The sequence below is a fragment of the Homo sapiens genome, chromosome 13 (assembly GCF_000001405.40).
Source record: "Homo sapiens chromosome 13, GRCh38.p14 Primary Assembly".
Classification (NCBI taxonomy): domain Eukaryota; kingdom Metazoa; phylum Chordata; class Mammalia; order Primates; family Hominidae; genus Homo; species Homo sapiens.
Window position 1 is genome coordinate 28,830,950 of NC_000013.11, and position 20,098 is coordinate 28,851,047.

General features: G+C 38.6%; 1 protein-coding gene across 11 annotated transcripts in view; it reads left to right on the plus strand.

Moving 5' to 3' along the window:
- The window catches only part of MTUS2 (microtubule associated scaffold protein 2), a 685,985-nt gene that overhangs the window by 10,987 nt on the left and 654,900 nt on the right, over positions 1-20,098 (plus strand). For 6 of the 11 annotated variants that reach the window (XM_047430227.1, NM_001384605.1, XM_011535019.4 and 3 more), the window contains exon 2: positions 8,829-8,901. The exons of 3 other annotated variants lie outside the window; for them this stretch is intronic. The gene's annotated coding sequence lies outside the window, so the exon portion shown is untranslated. Of the gene's footprint in view, positions 1-5,199; positions 8,902-20,098 lie in introns of those variants that run through there. 2 more of the 11 variants (XM_017020500.3, XM_017020501.3) reach the window with 2 other exon arrangements.

A 20,098-nucleotide genomic window follows, 5' to 3' on the forward strand; every position in this document is an offset into this window, starting at 1 on the left:
TTAAGATGTCTCAGAAAAACAAAAACAGAGAATTTGTCACTAGCAGACTGTCCCTACAAGAAATATTAAAGGTAATCTTTCAGTTTGTAACTAAAGGACACAAGTCAGTAACACACATCCACAGGAAGAAATAAAGAGTAGCAGTAAAGGTAATTATATAGGTAAATATAAAAGAGTACAAACCACTAAGAAAATAACTAAAAAATGTAAAAGAAACGGAATGAAAATGATATATTGAAAAATATCTATTTAACACAAAAGAGGGCAGTAGTGGAGGAACAAAAAGACATCAGACGTAACACAACAAATAGCAAAATGGCAGATGTAAAATCCTGCCATTTTTAGTTTTTACATTAAATATAAAGGGACTAATCACTGTAGTCAAAAGGCATAGGTTGGCAGAATTAATAAACATGAAATAAACATGACTCAACTATATGCCATTCACCACACTCACTTTATATATGAAGACACAAATACTGTGAAAGTAAAAGAATAGAATAAGATATAACCTGAACATAGTAATAAAAGGAGAGCTGGAATGGCTATACCGATATGAAGTGAAACAGATTGTAAGTCAAAAATTATTGCAGAAGACAAAGAAGGTCATTACCTGTTGTTAAAGGGATCAATTTCTCAGGAAGTCAAATATGAGCATGCATGTATTTAACAATAGATCCCCTAAATATGTGAAGCAGAAACAGAATTGAAAGAAGAAATAGAAAATTCAACAATAGTATTTGGAGATTTCAATACACATTCCCTCCCTCCCTCCCTTCCTTCCTTTCTTCCTTCCTTCCTTTTTTATTTATTTATTATTTTTTTGAGACAGAGTCTCACTCTGCTGCTCAGGCTGGAGTGCAGTGGTGCCATCTTGGCTCACTGCAACCTCCGCCTCCTGAGTTCAAGCGATTCTCTTGCCTCAGCCTCCCAAGTAGCTGAGACTACAGGTGCATGCCACCATGCCTGGCTATTTTTTTGTATTTTTTTTTTTAGTAGAGACAGGCTTTCACTATGTTGGCCAGGCTTGTCTCAAACTTCTGAACTCAGGTGATCTGCCTGCCTCAGCCTCCCCAAGTGCTAGGATTACAGGTGTGAGCCACTGTGCCTGGCATCAATACCTCATTTTCAAAAATGGGTTGAAACAGAAGATCTTATTTTCTTGCTGAAGATCAGCAAGGAAATAAAAGGCTTGAGCAACTTTATAAGCCAACTGGAATTAACAGACACCTAAAGAACACTTCACCCAGTGGTAGCAGAATATACATTGTTCTTAAATGCCTGTAGGAAATTCTTTAAAATAGACTATGTAATAGGTCACAGAATAAGTTTCAATGAATTTAAAAGGGCTGAAATAATACAGAATATGTTCCCTGACCACAATGGAATGATATTAGAAATCAAGAATAGAGGGAAATTTCAGAAATACAGAAAATGTGGAAATTAATATACTCCTAGTGGATTAAAGAAGAAATCAGAAGGCAAGTTAGAAAATAGTTTGAGAAGAATGAAAACAAAAACACAAACTTCTGAGATGCAACTAAATCAATACTTAGAGGGATTTTTTTTTTAGCTGTTAATGACTGTATGAACAAAAGAAAGATCTCAGACCAACAACCTAACTTTACACCTTAATAATGTAAAGAAAGAAGGGCAAACTAAATAAGTATGCTAAATATATAAATATATATAATATGACAATATATTAAAATTGTATATATTTAAAATTATATATTTATATAAATATAAATAAAAATAAGTACACAATGTAAACTATAGTAAGGACTAGAACAGAAGTAAATGAAATAGAGAATAGAAAAACAATAAAATCAATAAAAACAAAAAGTTGTCTTTTGAAAAGATCAGCAAAATTTACAAATCTTTACCTAACTGACTAATAGAAAAAGAGAGAAGAATCAGTTATTAAAATCAGAATAAAAGAAGGAGAATCACTACCATTTTAGAGAAATAAAATAAGAACATTTTAAATAAATTTATTTCAACAAATTATATAACCTGAATGAAATGGGTAAATTCCCAGGAAGACACATACTACCAAACTGACTCAAGAAGAAAGGGCAGATCTGAAGTGACCTATAATGAGAAAGGAGATTGAATTAGTAATCAAATATTTTTCCATGAAGAAAAGCCCAGGCTGGGATGGCTTCAACGGTAAATTCTACCAAATGTTTATTTAAAGAATTAACAGCAGTTTTGCATAATGTTTTTCAAGAAGGTAGACAAGGAGGGAACATTCTTGGCTCATTCTTTAAGGCCAGTAGTACTTTGATACAAAAGCCAAAGACATCACAAGAAAAGTATCGCTGTTATTCTGTATGAATACAGATACAAAAATCTGCAAGAAAATACTACCAAACAGAAATCAGCAACATATAAAAAGGTTTGTATACCGTGACTAAGTGGGATTTATCTGAGGAAGGCAACTGGTTTAACATCTGAAAATCAATCAATTTAATATACCATATTAATAGAATAAAATACAGAAACCCCATAATCATCTTAATAGAAACAAACAAACAAAAAAACCACTTGACAAATTCAAACAGCACTTCATGATAAAAATACAAAACTAGGAATGGAAGGAAACTTCCTCAACCTAATGAAGGGAATCTATGAAAAACCCACAGCTAACATCGTACTTGTGAAAGACTGTTTTCCTCTTAAAACAAGGAACAGGCAAGGATGTCTACTGTTTTCACATTTATTCAGCCTAATACTGGATGTTCTAGCCAAGGCAAGGAAAAGAAAGAAAAATCATCCAGATTGGAAAGGAAGAAGTAAAATTATCTCTTTGCAGATGACATGATCTTGTATGTAGAAAATCCTAAGGACTGTATACACAGACTGTGAGAACTAAAAAGTTCAGTAAGGTGGCCATATGCAAGATTAATAAAAGTCAATTGTATTTCTCTGCACTTACAATTAATATGAAAATGAAAATTTCCATTTGTAATAGTATCAAAAAGAATAAGATATTTAGGAACAAATTTAACAAAAGACATTCAGGACTTGTACACTAAAAACTGCAAAACGTTGTTAAAAGAAATTAAAGATAATGTACGTAAATGGAAAGACATCCTGTGTTCATGGACTGGAAGACTTAATATTATTAAGGTGACAGTGCTTCCCATATTGATCTGCAGATTTAATGTAATCGCTATCAAAAACACAGAGGTCTTTTCCTCCCAATAAATTGAAAAGCTGATCCTCAAATTGATATGGAAATGCAAGGGACCCAGAATAGTCAATGTAATCCTGAAAAAGCAGAACAAAGTTGAAGGAAGCACAAGTTCTAATTTCAAAACTTAACACAAAACTACCGTAATAAAGACAGCATGGTGCAGGCAAATTATATCCTTATAGATCAGTGGTATAAAATTGATCCATAAGGCCCAGAAGCAAACCCTTGCATTTTTTATTAATTGGTTTTCAAAAGAGTGACAAGATAATTCAATTCAAGAAAGAATGAATGATCTTTTTAATAAATGGTGCTGGAATAACTAGATGCCTATGTGTAAAAGGATGAAGTTGGATCCTACTTCATACCATATACAAAATTAACTCAAAATGGATTATTGACTTAAATGTAAAATATAAAACAATAAGTCTCAGGAAAAAAAGTAAGAGTAAATCTTCATGATGTTGGATTAGGCAATATTTTCTTATATGTAACAAAAAGCAGGAGTGACGAATATATAGGTTAGTCTTAATAAAAATTACAAAATTGTTTCCTTCAGAGGATATCATCAAGAAAGAGAAAAGACAACCCAAATAATGAGATTAATTTTTTGAAAATTATGTATCTAATAAGGATCTTGTATCCAGAATATATAAAAATGATTTCATTCAGCAGTATAACTTTTTGGGGGTGATAAAGACAACCCAATTAAAAATTCAACAAAGGATTTGAATTGACATTTTTCCAAAGAAGATATACGAGTGGCCAGTAAGCATATGGAAAGGCAGTCTACATTAGTCATTAGGGAAATGCAAATTAAAACCACAATAATGTATCACTAAGATGGCTAAAATTAAAAAGACAAAATTAAGTGTTGGTGAAGATATGGAAATGTTGGAAGCCTGGTACTTGCTGGTGGGACTGTGCAATGGTACAGCCATTTTGGGAAACAGTTGATAGTTACTCAAATTATAGGCATAGAGTAACAACATGACCCAGAAACTCTCTTCCTAAGTGTATACTCAAGAGAATTGAAAACTTACATATCCATATAAAAACTTGCACATGAATGTGTACATAGGAGCCTCAAACTGGAAACAATCCAAATGTCCATTAACTGATTAATAGATAAATAAGATATGGCTTATTCATACAATAGAATATTATTCAGCCATAAAAAGCAGTGAAGTACCGATTTCTGGTACAGATGGCTGAACTTTGAAAGCATTTTGTTAATTGAAAAAAGCCAGACACAAAATACCACCTGTTATATGATTCTGTTTATATGAAGTATTCAGAATAGGCAAATTCAAGTGACAGAATGGATTACTGGTTGTCAGGGACTGGGCTGAGGAGGGCTGTGGAGTATCTGCTAATGGTCTGGGTTTCTTTGGGGGGTGATGAAAATGTTCTGGAATTTGATAGTGGCGATGCTTGCATGACCTTGCGAATGTGATAAAAACCATTGAATTGCACCTTTTAAGATCATGAATTTTATGGTATCTGGGCTACATATCAGTAAAGCTGTTATTTAAGAAATTGTTTATCTTCATTTCTGAGAGTTTTAGTTCCCCCCAAGGCAGGTGCTCTGCCTTGCCCTGGTCCTGCTCAGATTTCAGTAAAATATCTAGATTGGAAGATTAGAAACCTGAGAAGTTACATGTGAAGTGCCAGCAGCTATGGTAGAGTAGAAACTTAGTGGCTCAGTAGAACTCTGAAAAAATATTCTGTGAGCTTTTCGTGTAGGGACAAACTCTGTGTGTTTAGCAGGGCCATGCTGTTCAGCACTGCAGTAGTCTTTGATGCTCTGGCTCTATGTCATTCGGAAAGGCTAAATTATGCTTAGCATCGTGTTAATGGGTTTATTAATAAGGAGGAGTTAAGGTACACTTTATAGGGTATATTTCTGTTCAATAGAAATATAATGTGAGCTGTATATGTAATTTTCTGTTTTCTAGTACCTGCATTTAAAAATCAAAAAGAAACATGGAATTTAATATATTTTATCTAACCTAAAATATTTAAAATACCATTTTTCATGTGGAAATATTTTACATTTTTTCATGTTGAATCCTCAAAATAAAGTATTTCATACTTACAGCACGTCTCAGTTTAGGCTAGCCACATTTCAAGTGCTCATTGGCCACCCCTTGCTGAGTGGCTACTGTCTTGACAGTGTTAAGAGTGATTTTCATGAAAGTAGATGCAAAGCTTTCAGAGACACAGCATGGTATACTGGTTTTGAGTTGGATCCAGATTCAAATTCTAGCTTTGGCTGTAGTGCTGCATTTATTTATTCTTAAAATATTTACTGACATCTGTTCTCAAAAAATCATAGTCTGTTTCTACATAGGGTCAGTCGTATGAATACTGGAGAGAAGTATCATGTTTTATTGTGCTAATTATTGCAAGACCCAAGGAAGGGAGTGGTCAGTTCTATCTGGGAAAGAGTTGGTAGTGGTCAGGAAGGGCTTTGCAAAGAGGAGAGGCCTGAGCTCCATCTTGGAAGAGGAGGTAGATGAGGACAGAGGCATTCTAGGAGGAGGCAGGAGCAAGGGCAGGGAGGCTTGCAACAGCACTGCCCAGGAGATTGCTTATAGCTTGGTTCACATGGAGCAGGAATGGGTGGTTGAAAGGGTGGTGTGGCTGAGCTGGAGCTGAGGGCCATGTTATTTGAGGGCACCTACAAGGGGCTTTAGAATGCATTTCATATTAGGCAGTGGACACCCACAGAAGAGCTTCAAGAAGTAAGTGATGAGGTGGGATTTGATCTTTCTTGTGTTGTTACCTTGGGCAAGTTATTGACCTTTCAGATCTGCCCCCCTTAGTCTCCTATTCTGCAACATTGGGTGATTGAAATCTACTCAGGCTGTTGCTATGAGGATTAAGTGAACTAGTATGTGAAGCATACCTGATGGTCCAGCTCAGACTCCTGCTGAATCGAGAGACCGCTTCTCTGGTAGTGTCCATCTGTTGCCCTAGCTCCTGTTCTTCATTGTAGTTGTGCTCCAGCAGTACCCAGGGAAAGCTTTCAAGAATATAAATTGTTGGAGCACAACAATCAGCCTCAGGGTGGTGTCCAGGAATCTATGTTTAACAAATCTATGTTTAACAAATTCTCTTTGTGGTTATTATGCAGCCACCTGTTTCGGGTTTGCATACCAATGTGCAGAGTTCACGTCCTCAACTCTTATCTAGGATTCTGGGCCATTCGGTAACATCAGCTCTTCCTACCTCTTACATCAGCTTCCGTGTACTGTTTCCTGGCCGGTGGTCTGTAGACCCTAGTCTGATCACAGTTGGTAATTACCAGTGGCCTAGGGCTACTCTGTTTGAGGTTGACCAGTTGGTTCTTAGGTGGCTCTTCATAGATTGGCCTCATTGAAATGGTACCTGACATCTTCTACACATGTATATATCTACTTCACAGACTTTAGCCAGTACTCCTTAATTTTGTTCACACTCTTATTTAATATCTGTATTAACATAAAGTCACGTTCTAACTCCTTTCCACAATGTGAAGTATAATTCCAACTTGTCTGTTAATTCAGAGCTGTTCTATTTGCAGCTCTTTATCTATGACCATACCCATTATAATAATAATGACAATTTTCTTTTTTTTTCTGTTACAATTAGTACTATCACTGCCATCATTGGTACATTTACCTTCAACCCTGTAGTGGTCCACAGTAGATCCAAATATCTCTGTTTAAAGGGGAAAGTCGCTATTGGAACAACACAGAGTGCCTCTGAATGTCAGATTTACTTTGCTTGCATTTCATTTCATGGTCTTATGTGTTTTTAAGATTCTGATTGGATGTGAACAAAATGACAGGTTTCATCTAGCATGTCAACTTTGACTTCGTCACCACCATTCTGTGACCATGTCACAGAATGCTGATTTTAATCTTACATCTTATCCTCACATAATTAATCTAAAAAATAGGGAAAGAGAAATGGGTGGCACTAAAAGGAGATTAAAAAGTTTATTTTGCAGCTGGCTGCTCTTTCATGCAAAAACAAAACAATTTATAGTAGGCTGCTGATTTAATGGGTCTCCTAGTGGGAGGGAAAATTATTTAAACCCTTTGTTATTCCTTCTCAGAAGAAAATGCACTTTGGGAACTTGTGAATTTTCTATATCTGGGGTACCCAAATGGCCTTGATTCCACTAGCTTTTACTTCCATTAGTGTTGTGCATGCTTCGAATTAACATTGTGTTGGGGTGGTTGTGATGCTGTTGTGCTGGTGGTGGTAGTTGTGGTAGGTCCTAAAATAGATGGGTTACTACATTTATTACAAGACAGAAGTAAATGTTCCCTTCATTGCCCCATGGACTTGGGCTTGGACCTGTGTGGGATGCTGCTCCCTGGCCATGCCTGTCCTGAGCTAGTGGGCAGCTCTTCCCCACGCTTCCCTCTGCATCTTATTCCTGCATCCATCTGCCCCCTGCATCTTGTCCCTCGCTTGCTCTTGCCTGCTTTCCCTTTCACCTGCCCCTGTTAGAGATCAGCATGCTCCCTCTCACCTTTTTGTCTTCCAGCCCTCAGCTTTTCTTTCTGTCATATCTATGCTCTTGGAAAAGAGTCTTATGTTGCAAGGGGGAAGCCGAGGGGGTTGGAAGTAATTGGGGACTGGGTGGGAAGAAAGAATTGAAAAGATACACATAAGCCCTTCCAAATGCTGGAGCTAATTCCTTTCCTTTCTTATCTTTTAGATACCATTGATGGTAAGTTAGAATGGAATCAGTTACTCATACCCAAACCATTGTTGCTCAGAAAAATGATGTATGTTGAGCAATAGGTAGTTTAGAAAATGTAATTGTTTCATAATCACTGGGGTTTTCAATCCTGATTTTTTTTTTTGTTTGGAAAAATTATGAAATTGCGATATGTGTAGGTAAAAAAATGGTTGAGTATCAGCAATTTTGTATAAGTCAACCTAATAATAGCAGGCATTCTGTGGTGTCTATGCCTCCACATTTGGGAGGAAAATTTGTCTCTTTTCTACCACTAGCAACTAATCTTCCTGTTGGACAATTTAGAGAAGAGAGTAATTTGCTGATTTTTTGAATTGAAATTTTCTTAACGATTTAATTAATATTAATGTTGTTAATACTGTAGGATTCATAGCTACTCTGGTTTTTTATTGCTTCTGAATTAGAAGAAAATAAGCATGACAGTATAAATTTGGTACACAATATGAAAATTAAGATCTACAAAATGGACGTGATTATTCATATATCAGAGGTATTCTTCCCCTGACAAAAGCTCTGTCTTAAGTCCTTAAGATACTTCATTTATATGGTTTATTTAAGAATCAGTTTTCAGATCATTAACTACTTGAGGGATTAATATAGAAAGAAAACTGAAGTCATGTAATCCACTGAGGATTAATCTGAAAATAAGATTAAGTATCTCTAAAATCCTAGACTCAGCTAATGGAAAAAATGGTGAGTTGATGAAGCAACTCCAATTATGAAGAGTTTGTGGTATAATTGTTGCATAGATTCAGGGACTTCTGAACTAACTTTATGTTTTGGTGAGAAGACCTATTATAATAAAATTACTGTTAATGCTTTCCTGAATCTTTCTCCTTCTAAATTTTCCTGTATCTTTTTCTTTTTAAGGTTTCCACAGCTGGATTGTTTACTAGGGCCAATTGTCACCAATGGCAGTAAAACTCATTTTCTGGGGAATAGGGTGAGTTCATGTGGATTTCTACCTGATTTATTATTCCATTCTATTTGGGCCTGTGATTGTCTCTCAAATGTTGTTTACTTCCTTATACTCAAGGTAAATAGCTGGTGGTAGTTTTTTTTTTTTTTAAAGTGATATTATTAATGAAAGAAGTCAATGAAAATAAATTATATGAAAGCTTAATTTTTTTTTTTTTAAAGCTGTGAGGAATCTAGTTAGATATTGACTGAGTTCAAGTAACGTGTTAGTGATTTTAAATTTGTAGGGGGTGTTTAGAATTGACACCTCTTACTTAGTAGTAATTAATCTTCAGTAACAAAGGGTCATGTTATTGTTAGCATGTGTTTAGTAATATTAATGGACAGACATAGGACATGAGCTTTAAGTAGGGGATGTGCCTGATAACTGAAGTTACTGAGAGAAGACGACCAGACTGGGAGGAAAAACGTGAATGCAGTGCAAACAGTCCATTAAACTAAGAGCAGAAGCTTTAGTAAACAGCCAAGACCACAGAAAGCTTAAAACATTTGAGGGAAGCTTTTCTGAGGGCTGCTGCTAGCCCATATGACGCTTTGTGCAAATTAGACAAAGGCACCCCTCTGTAAGACATTCACTTCCATCTGATGGGAAATTATTCAGCTATACTGATTTTTAGAACAAGACATTTTATTGCCATGTGCTGGAAAATTGTAATATGAATAATCAAATTACCCATCTTTAAATCAGCAAAGTTTTAATAAAAATACAAACAACTTTTAAACGAGTAGAGAGATGCTCATGATGAGCCCGATGCCTCCGTAAACATGGTGCTCTTCCACAGTGCACAACCTGAGCAACTGGGAAGTTGGCTCTGCCTTGTTGGGATTCAACTCATGATAGACTCTAAGGAAGGGACACTTTTTGTTAAGGTCTGGTCATAGAGGACAGAAGATAGAAACAAGAGTTTGAGGTTTGGCTTTGATTAGAAACTTGGGTGGCTCAAAAGAAACTTACCAGAAGCACAGTAGCTGTAGGTTTGGGGTCCCAAAAGGGTAGCCTGAGCTTTTTAGGGCTAAAACTGGGAAAGAAACACCTAAACTGTGCTTTAAACTAAATTTATGACTGAGTTTCTGCCATGTGGTGATTTATAGTATGTGCTTTCAGATTCGCCCTACTTTAATCATGAAAGCTTCATTCTATAGACCACCACCTGTGTGATGTCCTTGTTCTCAAAGACGATTTAAACTTGGACTGTTTTTCCCAGTAAAAGAGATTTGCTTTCAGAATGTCGAGTGTATTCATAATGGATGGTTCTTCATTACTTACAAATTTTTGTAATTAATCTTCTGATGAAACAAAAAGCTATGATGTTGCTGTTAATGTGTATTTGATAGATATTGGTTGACAAATGCAGGCTAAATGGGATGTGGCAATACTTTGGGGCCAGATTTAGGGGCTACGGGTGGAGTATGTGACTGGTGATTGGAAAGTTATTGAGGAAATTAGAACAGATAGGGGAAAAAGTCATAGGGTAAGTAGGTGGATGTGGCAGTCATGGTAGTTGGAGGCATGGTGAAAGTGGTGCAGGTTGTGGGGTGGTGAGGATGGTGGTGGCCGCTGGAGCGGCCGGAAGGTTGGTAGTGGAGAGCTGGCAGCTGCCACTGTGGCGCTGAAGACACATGAGAAGGAAGAGATGACATGTGGAAAAGATGCCATGCTGTGGACACAAAGTATGTGGCCTAAGTAAAAGCTTTTGGTTTCTTGGGTGCTGGAGACAAATTGACAAGAGGGATATTCAAGGGGCCTCCTCTTTGTGGTGATGCAAAGTTAGTTCTTTGTGTGTGTGTGTGTTTTTTTTTGTTTTTTTGTTTTTTTTTTGATACGGAGTCTCACTCTGTCGCCCAGGTTGGAGTGCAGCGGCGTGATCTCCGCTCACTGCAACCTCCGCCTCCCAGGTTCAAGCGATTCTCCTGTCTCAGCCTCCTGAGCAGCTGGGATTACAGATGCGTGCCACCACGCCTGGCTAGATTTTGTATTTTTAGTAGAGACGAGGTTTCGCCATGTTGGCCAGGATGGCCTCGATCTCTTGACCTCATGATCTGCCCGCCTTGGCCTCCCAAATTGCTGGGATTACAGGCGTGAGCCACCGCGCCCGGCCAAAGTTTGTTTTCTTATTGTATCATTTACCCCCTTCTCCCCCATTCCCCTCTATGTGTATGGTGGAGGATTTGATACTCTGAATACAGAAGCACAGAAACATGATCGATTACAAACACCATTCATGAGATTTAGTGCAAAAGGCCCCAGTGTTGTTTACATCTAAAACGACCTCTCCTCTGCTCCCCCAACACACAAATGATCTATGTTTTGAAGAAAAAAATGTGGATTTTTTTTTTAATGAGTGGAGGAAGCAGAAGGAAAAAGGGAAACCAGATAAAGAAGACTTAGATCAGTTAATTCCTCCCACCCCTGCAGTTGTTTAGCTGTCTGTTCTACTTTGTGGACATTATCCTTGACTGTGGAACACCAAGGGGAGTGAGAATATGAAGACACTTTGGATCTGATGTTTGGCAGCTGTGATACTGAGCTAATAATTTTGAGTTTCATGTTTCCTTATCTTTCAGTAGAGAGAATGATATTCCTTATTAGAAAACACAGACGGAATATTTGTGAAAACACTGGCTTAATGAATATTAAAATGTAACAGAATGATAGGTTTGATGATGATCTGGTATTCTCACTGTCCTGAAACTTCATGATTTTTGGATTGAAATAATTTATCGCTGTATGGTCCACATAGTTGTCCTCATTATTTTAAAGAAGAGATCCTTTATGATGATTCTGTAAAGATGTATATACTCTGCAGCAAGAGAGATTTAGGATAGCATAGCTTTTGAAAAAGGGGAGTTAGTGGGTTTTCCTGCAACGAATGTTAGATTAGGTATAGAGCACCATGTGCTTGATGTGTGCTTAATGGGATGGAATGACTTTACCCTGTGCAGATGCTAGTAGCAGCCACATACAGTGGGTGCTCCTAGTTCAGTACTGTGCTGAGCCCAACACTCATTATCTCAGTGGCTCCTTAGAACCCCCTCTGGGACAGGTGCTGCCATGGCTCTTATTTTACAGCTCTGAGAGGTGAAGGATGGAGCTAATGTAGCCAGACATGCCTGTTGCCACTAGGCTTTCCAGTCTCCTTGGATCCGGACTGGCTCTACTCTTCAATGTCTTTTTCATTTCTCAAATACTATGCATTTTAGACCAGCCTGTCTCATCCCCCAGAGCTGCTTTAAAATTGAGCAGAGAATTCTATCATTAGAGGACACCAGCTGAACAAGGCCAGGGGAATCCTAGAACTAAATTTGTGCCACATAATGAGATGTGAGGGGATTGTTGGTTGCAATTGGTTTCCCAGAGACCTGAGAGATTCCTGAAGGTTATTTTTTTTTTCTACATGTGATTCAGAAGTATCTATATCATTGAAATATCCTCAGATTTCGAGAATGTGAAGGAACCCAGCGGTGTGTACATCTTATTTTTCTGCTTTAAAATTATCCTCAAGAATAGATTGGAAGCACCGGGGTCACAAAGTCTGTTTTTTGAGGCAGGGTAAGGTTAATCCTTTCCCTAATTCATCTTTTTCCTTAGGCAGAAAACACAGGAGGAGAAAAAAGACCAAACACATGTTAATATTTAAATTCATAGATCCAGAGCCCAGAATTTTAGTATGTTGGTTATTGGGATAAAGGGACTGGTGGATTCAGTAAATGTCACATGGGCAATTCTCTTAAGATGATAGAAACCATATAAGCTTCTTTGTTGTCCTTTATTAAATGATGCATAAGACTGTGCAATTTACCCTGCACCAATCTCTTGTATGTACTGTTATGTAGCTGCTGTAGCCAGGAATTAAACCTGTGATCTGTTTGATATGAGGCCAGATTTTATTAAACTAGGTCATCAGGGCACACACGGGGGATGGGTCATGCTGGCACTGTGTCGTCTTTGGAAATTAACTGGGTAAGCATGCCAGTAGGCAAACGAAATGGCTTTGCTTCTGCTATTAGAAGCAGATAGCGGGGAGCTGTGTAATATTTGAACATGCATCCAGTTAATGAGGAATTACAATGAGAATCCTGGAAAAGTTCCTGTGATACTCATATTATGTCAAAGGAGTTCATCATATTTGAAATTATCACAGGAATTACAGAATAATTCAAAATGAATAGGTAATTATTCAAATGTTGTATGAGTTATTGCTTCAATGTGCACATTCTTAATACAATGTGGATTTCTGCCCTCTCCTTGTAGAAGCACTGAGAACCTGAGCTCACATCAGCCATTTGGTCGTGATTTCCTGGGGCAGAAGCTGGGGAGTTTGCATAGGGAGATCATTTATAGTTCTTTTGAAGGTTGAGTTTGGTTTTGTCTAGGAGATAGGAGAATGAATTAAATGACATTTTAAAAATGGCTTTTTAATGTCTGCTTTTGCCTGAAAGGGATTTTGTATTTAATTCTTTGTCATATTTATGTAGTTGTTATTCATTGTACTTAGCGTCCAGATTTTTAAAATGCTGTGTGTGTGTGTGCGCGCATGTGTGCGTGTGTGTGTATTTAATGTTCAGTTGCTAATATGGGGATATTTCTCTTAGATGCCAGGATAGGAGAAAGGCCTTTTCAGAAGTACTCGTCCACCCCACATGGCTTGGGGAGCAGCTTTGGCACATAGGGAGGGAGGAAGGGGTCTGCAGCATTTGTGTGTGAGTGTGTGTGTGTGTGTGTGTGTATGTGTGTGTGTGAGAGAGAGAGAGACGGAGTCTAACTCTGTAGCCCAAGCTGGAGTGCAGTGGCATGATCTAGGCTCACTGCAACCTCCGCCTCCTAGGCTCAGGTAATTCTCATGCCTCAGCCTCCTGAGGAGCAGGGACTACAGGCGCACGCCACCACACCCATCTAATTTTTTTGTATTTTAGTAGAGACAGGGTTTCACCCATGTTGCCCAGGGTGGTCTCGAACTCGAGCTCAGGAGATCTGTCTGCCTTGGCTCCCCAGAGTGTTGAGATTACAGGCATGAGCCACCATGCCTGGCCAGCATTTTCTTTTTTAAAATTTTAATTTAATTTACTTGTTAATTAATTTATTTTTTAGAGACAGGATTTCACCTTATCACCCAGGCTGGAGTGTGATGGTGTGATCATAGCTCACTGTAACCTTGAACTCCTGAGCTCAAGCAGTCCTCCCATCTCAGGCTTTTGAAGCTAAGACTATAGGCAAGTGTCACCAGGCCTGGCCAGTTTTTTTTTTATTAAATTTTTGTAGAGATGGCATCTTGCTGTGTTGCTCAAGCTGATCTCAAACAACCATCCTTCTGCCTCCGCCTCCCAAAGCACTGGGGTAACAGGCGTGAGCCACCGCTCCTGGCTAGCAACATTTTCTAATCTTTCTGCTGTAAATTTCACTTGTCACTAGAATGTAAACTTCACAAGGGTGGGGATTTTGTCTGTTTATTCACTACCATTTTCCTGACACTTTGACCAATAAATGCCTAACATGCATTGGACACTAAGGAAATGTTTCTGGAATGAATGAAGCCATTTGAAGCTTGTGTCTCTGGGAAGTAGAATTCTTTTTCTTTCATCTCAAAGGAAAACAAATTTACCTAGTCTTTTGCTTATTCTTTCAGCAGCACAGAGACATATTGAGAGATCAAGGAGAGACACTTCATTTAAGAAATTGGAAGGAAAAAAATTATCCTTTATGGTGTAATACTTATTTAATGGAAGGACTGGCTTCGTGGTAGAGGTCCCTGTTATGTTCCCTCTCTGTTTTGTTTGTTTTTTTTTTTTAACCTAGACAACTTGCTATACATGTTGCTCAGAATAAGAGGGTACGTAAGTCATCAGATAGCCACAAAGAAGGACGATGTAGACTTTGGTGACACTCTGGGTCATGTCTCAGCTCTGGCATTTTTTAGTGTGTGACTTTACTTATGTTACAGTTTCCTTACCTTAAAAGGGGATGGTACCTGGCTTGCAGCTCTGTAAGGATTACATGAAATGAGAAGGGAGAGCACTCAATAATATAACAGTGCCTGCCACAAAGTAAATGTTGCTTCTCACTTCCAAATGAAGCCTCATTTAAGTCTCCTTTAAGAACTTGACATTACTAGACTTGCTAATTTAACTGCTTTTCTTAAAAACATATATGCAGTCTTTTTCTTAAAAAAAAAATATATATATATATATATATTCCTCCTTCAGAATAGGGCATATTAAACAGAGTCCTGTAAGAAAGTAGAGCTGCTTGAGTTATAGCCTGGCACTGTGGATCGTGTTTAGGCATTTACATAACTGCACTGATCTGAACTAGTTTGTTAATGAACGAACATTTCTTAAATATGGAACCCACGTGAGAGACCACGGGGGAAATCTAAACTAAGTTTTTGAGGTCTCCCAATCCAGGGCAGCTCTCTCTTTGGAGTTTAAAGGAATCGTCAGGTCTCTGTAATAACTAAAGAACACGAAAGAATTATATTGAAAACACTTGGCTAATTATAAGTTCTAAGAGGCATTTCAGTTCACTCAAGCGTTTTAACATCCACCAGGACATACAGATACACTTCTCAGTCCATCAAGTCAAAAGCTGTGTGTGTCTTTTAAATGTTTTAGTTGTAGTTTTCTTCTTTCCTCTTTAGGAGAAATTATCAGGGCAGGTTAATCTCCACAGACTATTATAGATGTGCAAATAATATGCCACTTACAGTGCGTTTTTAATAGACTGCTTGTCAGAAGAGCTCATGTTTTCTTCTGCTTCATGTAGAAGCAGTTCTTGTATATGCATTCAGAAAACAAAGTAGTCTTTCATTTAGGAAGAAAATGCCCTCTTAAAGAAACAATGAATCTTAATAGAAGAGGGTATCAGGACTCATCTTCCTTCTCAAAGGCAAACATAACAAAATTGATAGTCTATGAAACTCACTAATTTGTCCTAGCTCCGTCGCGATTTTTCATACCTCATGCATCCCTGTACCTTGTATTATAGTTATTTGTGAACAGACATTATTTCCTTACTGGGCTGTATGCTTCTTCAGTGGTGTAATCCATGTCTTATTCATTCCCAATATTATTTGGCAAAGTGTCTTACACGTAATGGGGATCCATAAATACTTGGTGAATCAATGAGGATTTTCTGAGCAAAGTACAGAGGGCTGGGTTCATTGTTTGTGGTTCTCATAGTTTTAATTGGGGGTGATGTGGAAGAGTTCATGTCCTCGTCAGGTTCCTGCTGAGCCAGTGTGCTGTATTGTATTTAGGATGGCAAGAGAAGCCTGCCAGAAAATCACCTAAGGTAATTATTTTTGACAAAGTGGGAAGATATTCAAATAGGCATGAACAATATAGAGTTTCTGACAATAAAGTCAATATCACTTGAGGTTTTTTTTTGGTTCCTTGGATTCTTCTTGGTTCCAGTGCAAATGAGAAGGTGAGGATGAGGGTGGAGTATAAGTTTTTGCCTCCCAGATAGAGGGACACAGGGCATAGGAGCTCTGATTTTGGATTTCTCAGTGCAAAGGAAGAGGGAGGGGAGTAGTCCAAAGGCAAAGGCAAGAGGATCTCTAGAAATGGGGCTCAGTGGGATGTCAGGCCTGGATTCGTCTAGAGGACACTGAGGATAACTTATTGTGATTTTGTACCTCTCCCCCTTGCCTATCAATTTCCGCTGCATCCTCTGTCTTGTTGTGGCTCTGGCAAATTGATAAGGAGTTGGCAGGGTGGTTTTGCAGGGAAGGCCTCATTTCCTTTCCTGTGTGGCCTAGTTCTTCCATCTGTGACTCTCTTGATAGCATCTTCCTAGACTTTGTTTCATCTTGGCTTTTTCAGCACCTCCCGGGCCCATCTCCTGGCTGGTCTCAAGTCTTGCTAGGGCACTGTCCAAGGAAACCATGCAGCAGCCCTGAAGACTGATGCTGTCTCAGAGTTATACTTCCTGATGCTGGATGGACCTCACATAGATGCAGCCTCTGGGCGCCAACGTTATGCAAAGCTCAGACTTGGGAGGAGAGCGGGAAGGAGGGGAGTAGCTAGGCCTATTCACTGTCACAGGTGGGCTTTTACCAGGGCTTTCTGCCTTGGCCAGGCTCAGCCCTCCTGTCATCTGACCTCACTATACACTTATCTGCAGGATAATGCCCCGATTTCTTAGCAGGAATATAAGACCTGTCCCACACTCTATGTTTTATCCACATTTCCTGTCACACCCTCCTTTTCTAGTTCAGGGATATATATATATATATTGAATGCCTGCTTTGTGATAATCACTGTGCCAGATGCTGAGAACGTCAAAAGGAATAAACTTTGGTTTCTGCTTTCCAAGAATTTACTATCTTTCCAAGAATTTACTATCTATTGGTATAGCCCAATATACAAACAACTTCAAAAAAATAGTTTAAAGGAATGTTAATGGGGAAACACAGAGGTGGGACTCACAAGCCCCTTTTCTCCATCCTTCCTAAGCCACTCATGGTTCATATGTATTGGGGTCAGCCAATATTGGTTTGATTGTGATGTTTTATATCTGTAGTATTGTATGACAATAATTGCTGTTCTGAAAAATAGTGTTAGATACCCTAAGAATGATAATAGTCAAAAGGATTACATTATACGATAAATAATAAAAACAAACTTGTTGGAATGTTAGTGGTACCTGGTGTGTGAGTGGTATCTAGTGTGGTAGGAAGAGAGATGAATATTTCAGAAGTATTTTCAGTAACAAGGGGTGTGATTATTGAGTTTCAAAGAAAATTAACTTAGAAGAGTCTTTCAGTAAACATTCCCGTTATCACTTTATAATAATAATTGATATTTCTAGCCCCACCCTATTCCCTGCCAATCCCGCTGCTGTTGACGAGGAGATATTTTTGGCTCGAATGGTCTCGATGTCAACCTACAAGGATTTGCCCACTCTCCCAGTGGACATTTGGCAATGTCTGGAGACATTTTTGGCTGTCATAACTGGGGACACTGTGCCACTAGCATCTAACAGATAAAGGCCAAGGATGCTGCTCATCATCCTGTAATGCATAGGATAGTTCCCCACAAAGGATCTTACCACCCCAAATGCCAGTAGTGCCAGAGTTGAGAAACCCCAGTCTGGATGAATAGCCTATATTGCTGCATGGTCTTCTTATAACAGCCTTGTTATGATTTAATCCATCAGATGAATAGTTTCGATGATCACTTAGCATGTTTTGGAGAGCTTTACTAATGTATCCCCAGTGTCTAGCACAGACCCTGTAACCTAGTCCACAATTCATATGTATTTGTTTGTTAAATGCATAAGTGCATATATTCCTGAAGATAGTAGCATTTTATTTGTTTTCCAAACACTCCTCTTGTACTTTCAGAGTTAGATAAATGGAAAATATGTGCCGGAGTTTATGAGAGTTATTTCAAAGATTCAAAGCAAGTGTTAGGTCAGTAAAAATAAGACACCTGGATCTCTAAGAGGGAGAAGATAGAAAGTTATCAACTCTAGCATCAGCTTTTTTGCAGAGCTGAACAGGCAAAAACACAGCAGAAGTTCATGAAAGCCCAGTTGGTCTACAGCCACAGAGGAATATGCTCTAAGCAAACAGCTGCACCAAAAAGCAAACTCAACACAAACCTCTAATAGGAAAATAAGTGGGCATCATACAGAGTCCTTAGAGGAACTAGAAACTGAGCTTCACAGCAGCACTACCTGAGGCTAGGGGCACAGACAGATATAACTACAGCCAGCTCAGAAATTACCTTGCACTGCCCCATGGACGCCATCTGTGCTGGCTTTGCTGGGAAAGCCAAGTGCTTGACTTCCCAATTTCTCTCTCACCGTTTTCCTGCTTGAACCCTTTGCTCCAGCCAGACTTTCCTGCTTCTCCTCTAAACATGCCTTGTGCTGCCTCTCTCTCATTGCCCATGACGTTCTTCTGTCTAGAATGCTGTTTTCCCTCTCCTCTCTACCTCTGAGTTTTCCAAGACTCAGCTCAAGTTCAGCAGCCTGTATGAAACCCTTCCCAAGTTTTTCCTGCATAAAAAGTCTTTAACAATCTTATTTGGCCCTCTCTTACCCCCTCCAAATCCAGGAAACAAGGTAGTGTCATGTTTTATCAGATTCCATTCTATAGAAACCTCAGGTGCTTCGAAACGATGAATGGGACAAATGCAGCTTTTCATGGTTGGTGGAACAGGCCGTAAGGATGGGAGAGCATCTCCCTTTGGTTCATCAGGGCCCACTGGATGGACGCCTGTCACAGGCTGTACACAACAGTCTGCTCGTTGGTATAAGGTCCTTTGAAGGTTCTGATAGTACTTACCTGGACAAAGAAAGAGACCTGAAGGAGTACTTTTATATTGTCCGCAAACTCAAGAAATAGACAAAAATGTAAATGTCATCCTGACATTAGACAGATACATTCCCCTCTGTATAGGGCCCCATCCCAGTTTTTGGACAGCCCTGTTTTCTCAGGGTTCAGATACAACATGGAAAGTGTGTGTGTCTCTTGTTGTGCTCTGATCTTGGCTCGTGGCAAGTTCAGGGAGAGGGGCCAAGCTTGGCTAATTGGCCAGCGACAGCCCTGCTGGGCTAGGCATTCTGTCAGTCTCACCAGGCACCCTCTCTCTAGATTCAACCCAGAACTTTGCAATATTGTGTAGAATTCCCAGCAGCAGTGAGTTCTGATCAACTCTATTTACAAGAGCAATATTAAAAACATAAATTGCCCAGAGGGTATGCTTAACATTAAGGTGTTAAACAGTAGAGGGAGAAGGGACTTGTGAAAATGAAGTTTAATTTTGATACAGAGAACTTTCATTCTTTGTGCAGGATGTCTTAAGGATGTCTCTAAACCATCCTGGAGACTGGTCTTTAGACAGTTGATTCATTTTCTAGCAAAACTCAGACAGATATATTAAAATTAAAATCTCATGGTGGGTATAAAATTTCATTATTATACCTGTTCTTATTACAATCACTTGTTTTCTATTCATATGAGATCATTGGGTAGAGAAAATTTACCTTGATTTTTGCATTCAGAATTCAGTTGCCTGTTTACCATGGTTTCATTTATTTTTAGATGAAAATTTCCCCTTTTTGTGTGCAGCTGAGTGTATCTCTCGTTTGCCAGAAGGGAGGGGAATATCGCTGTTAAATGAGGATGATCATTTATTTGCAAGTTAAAACATAT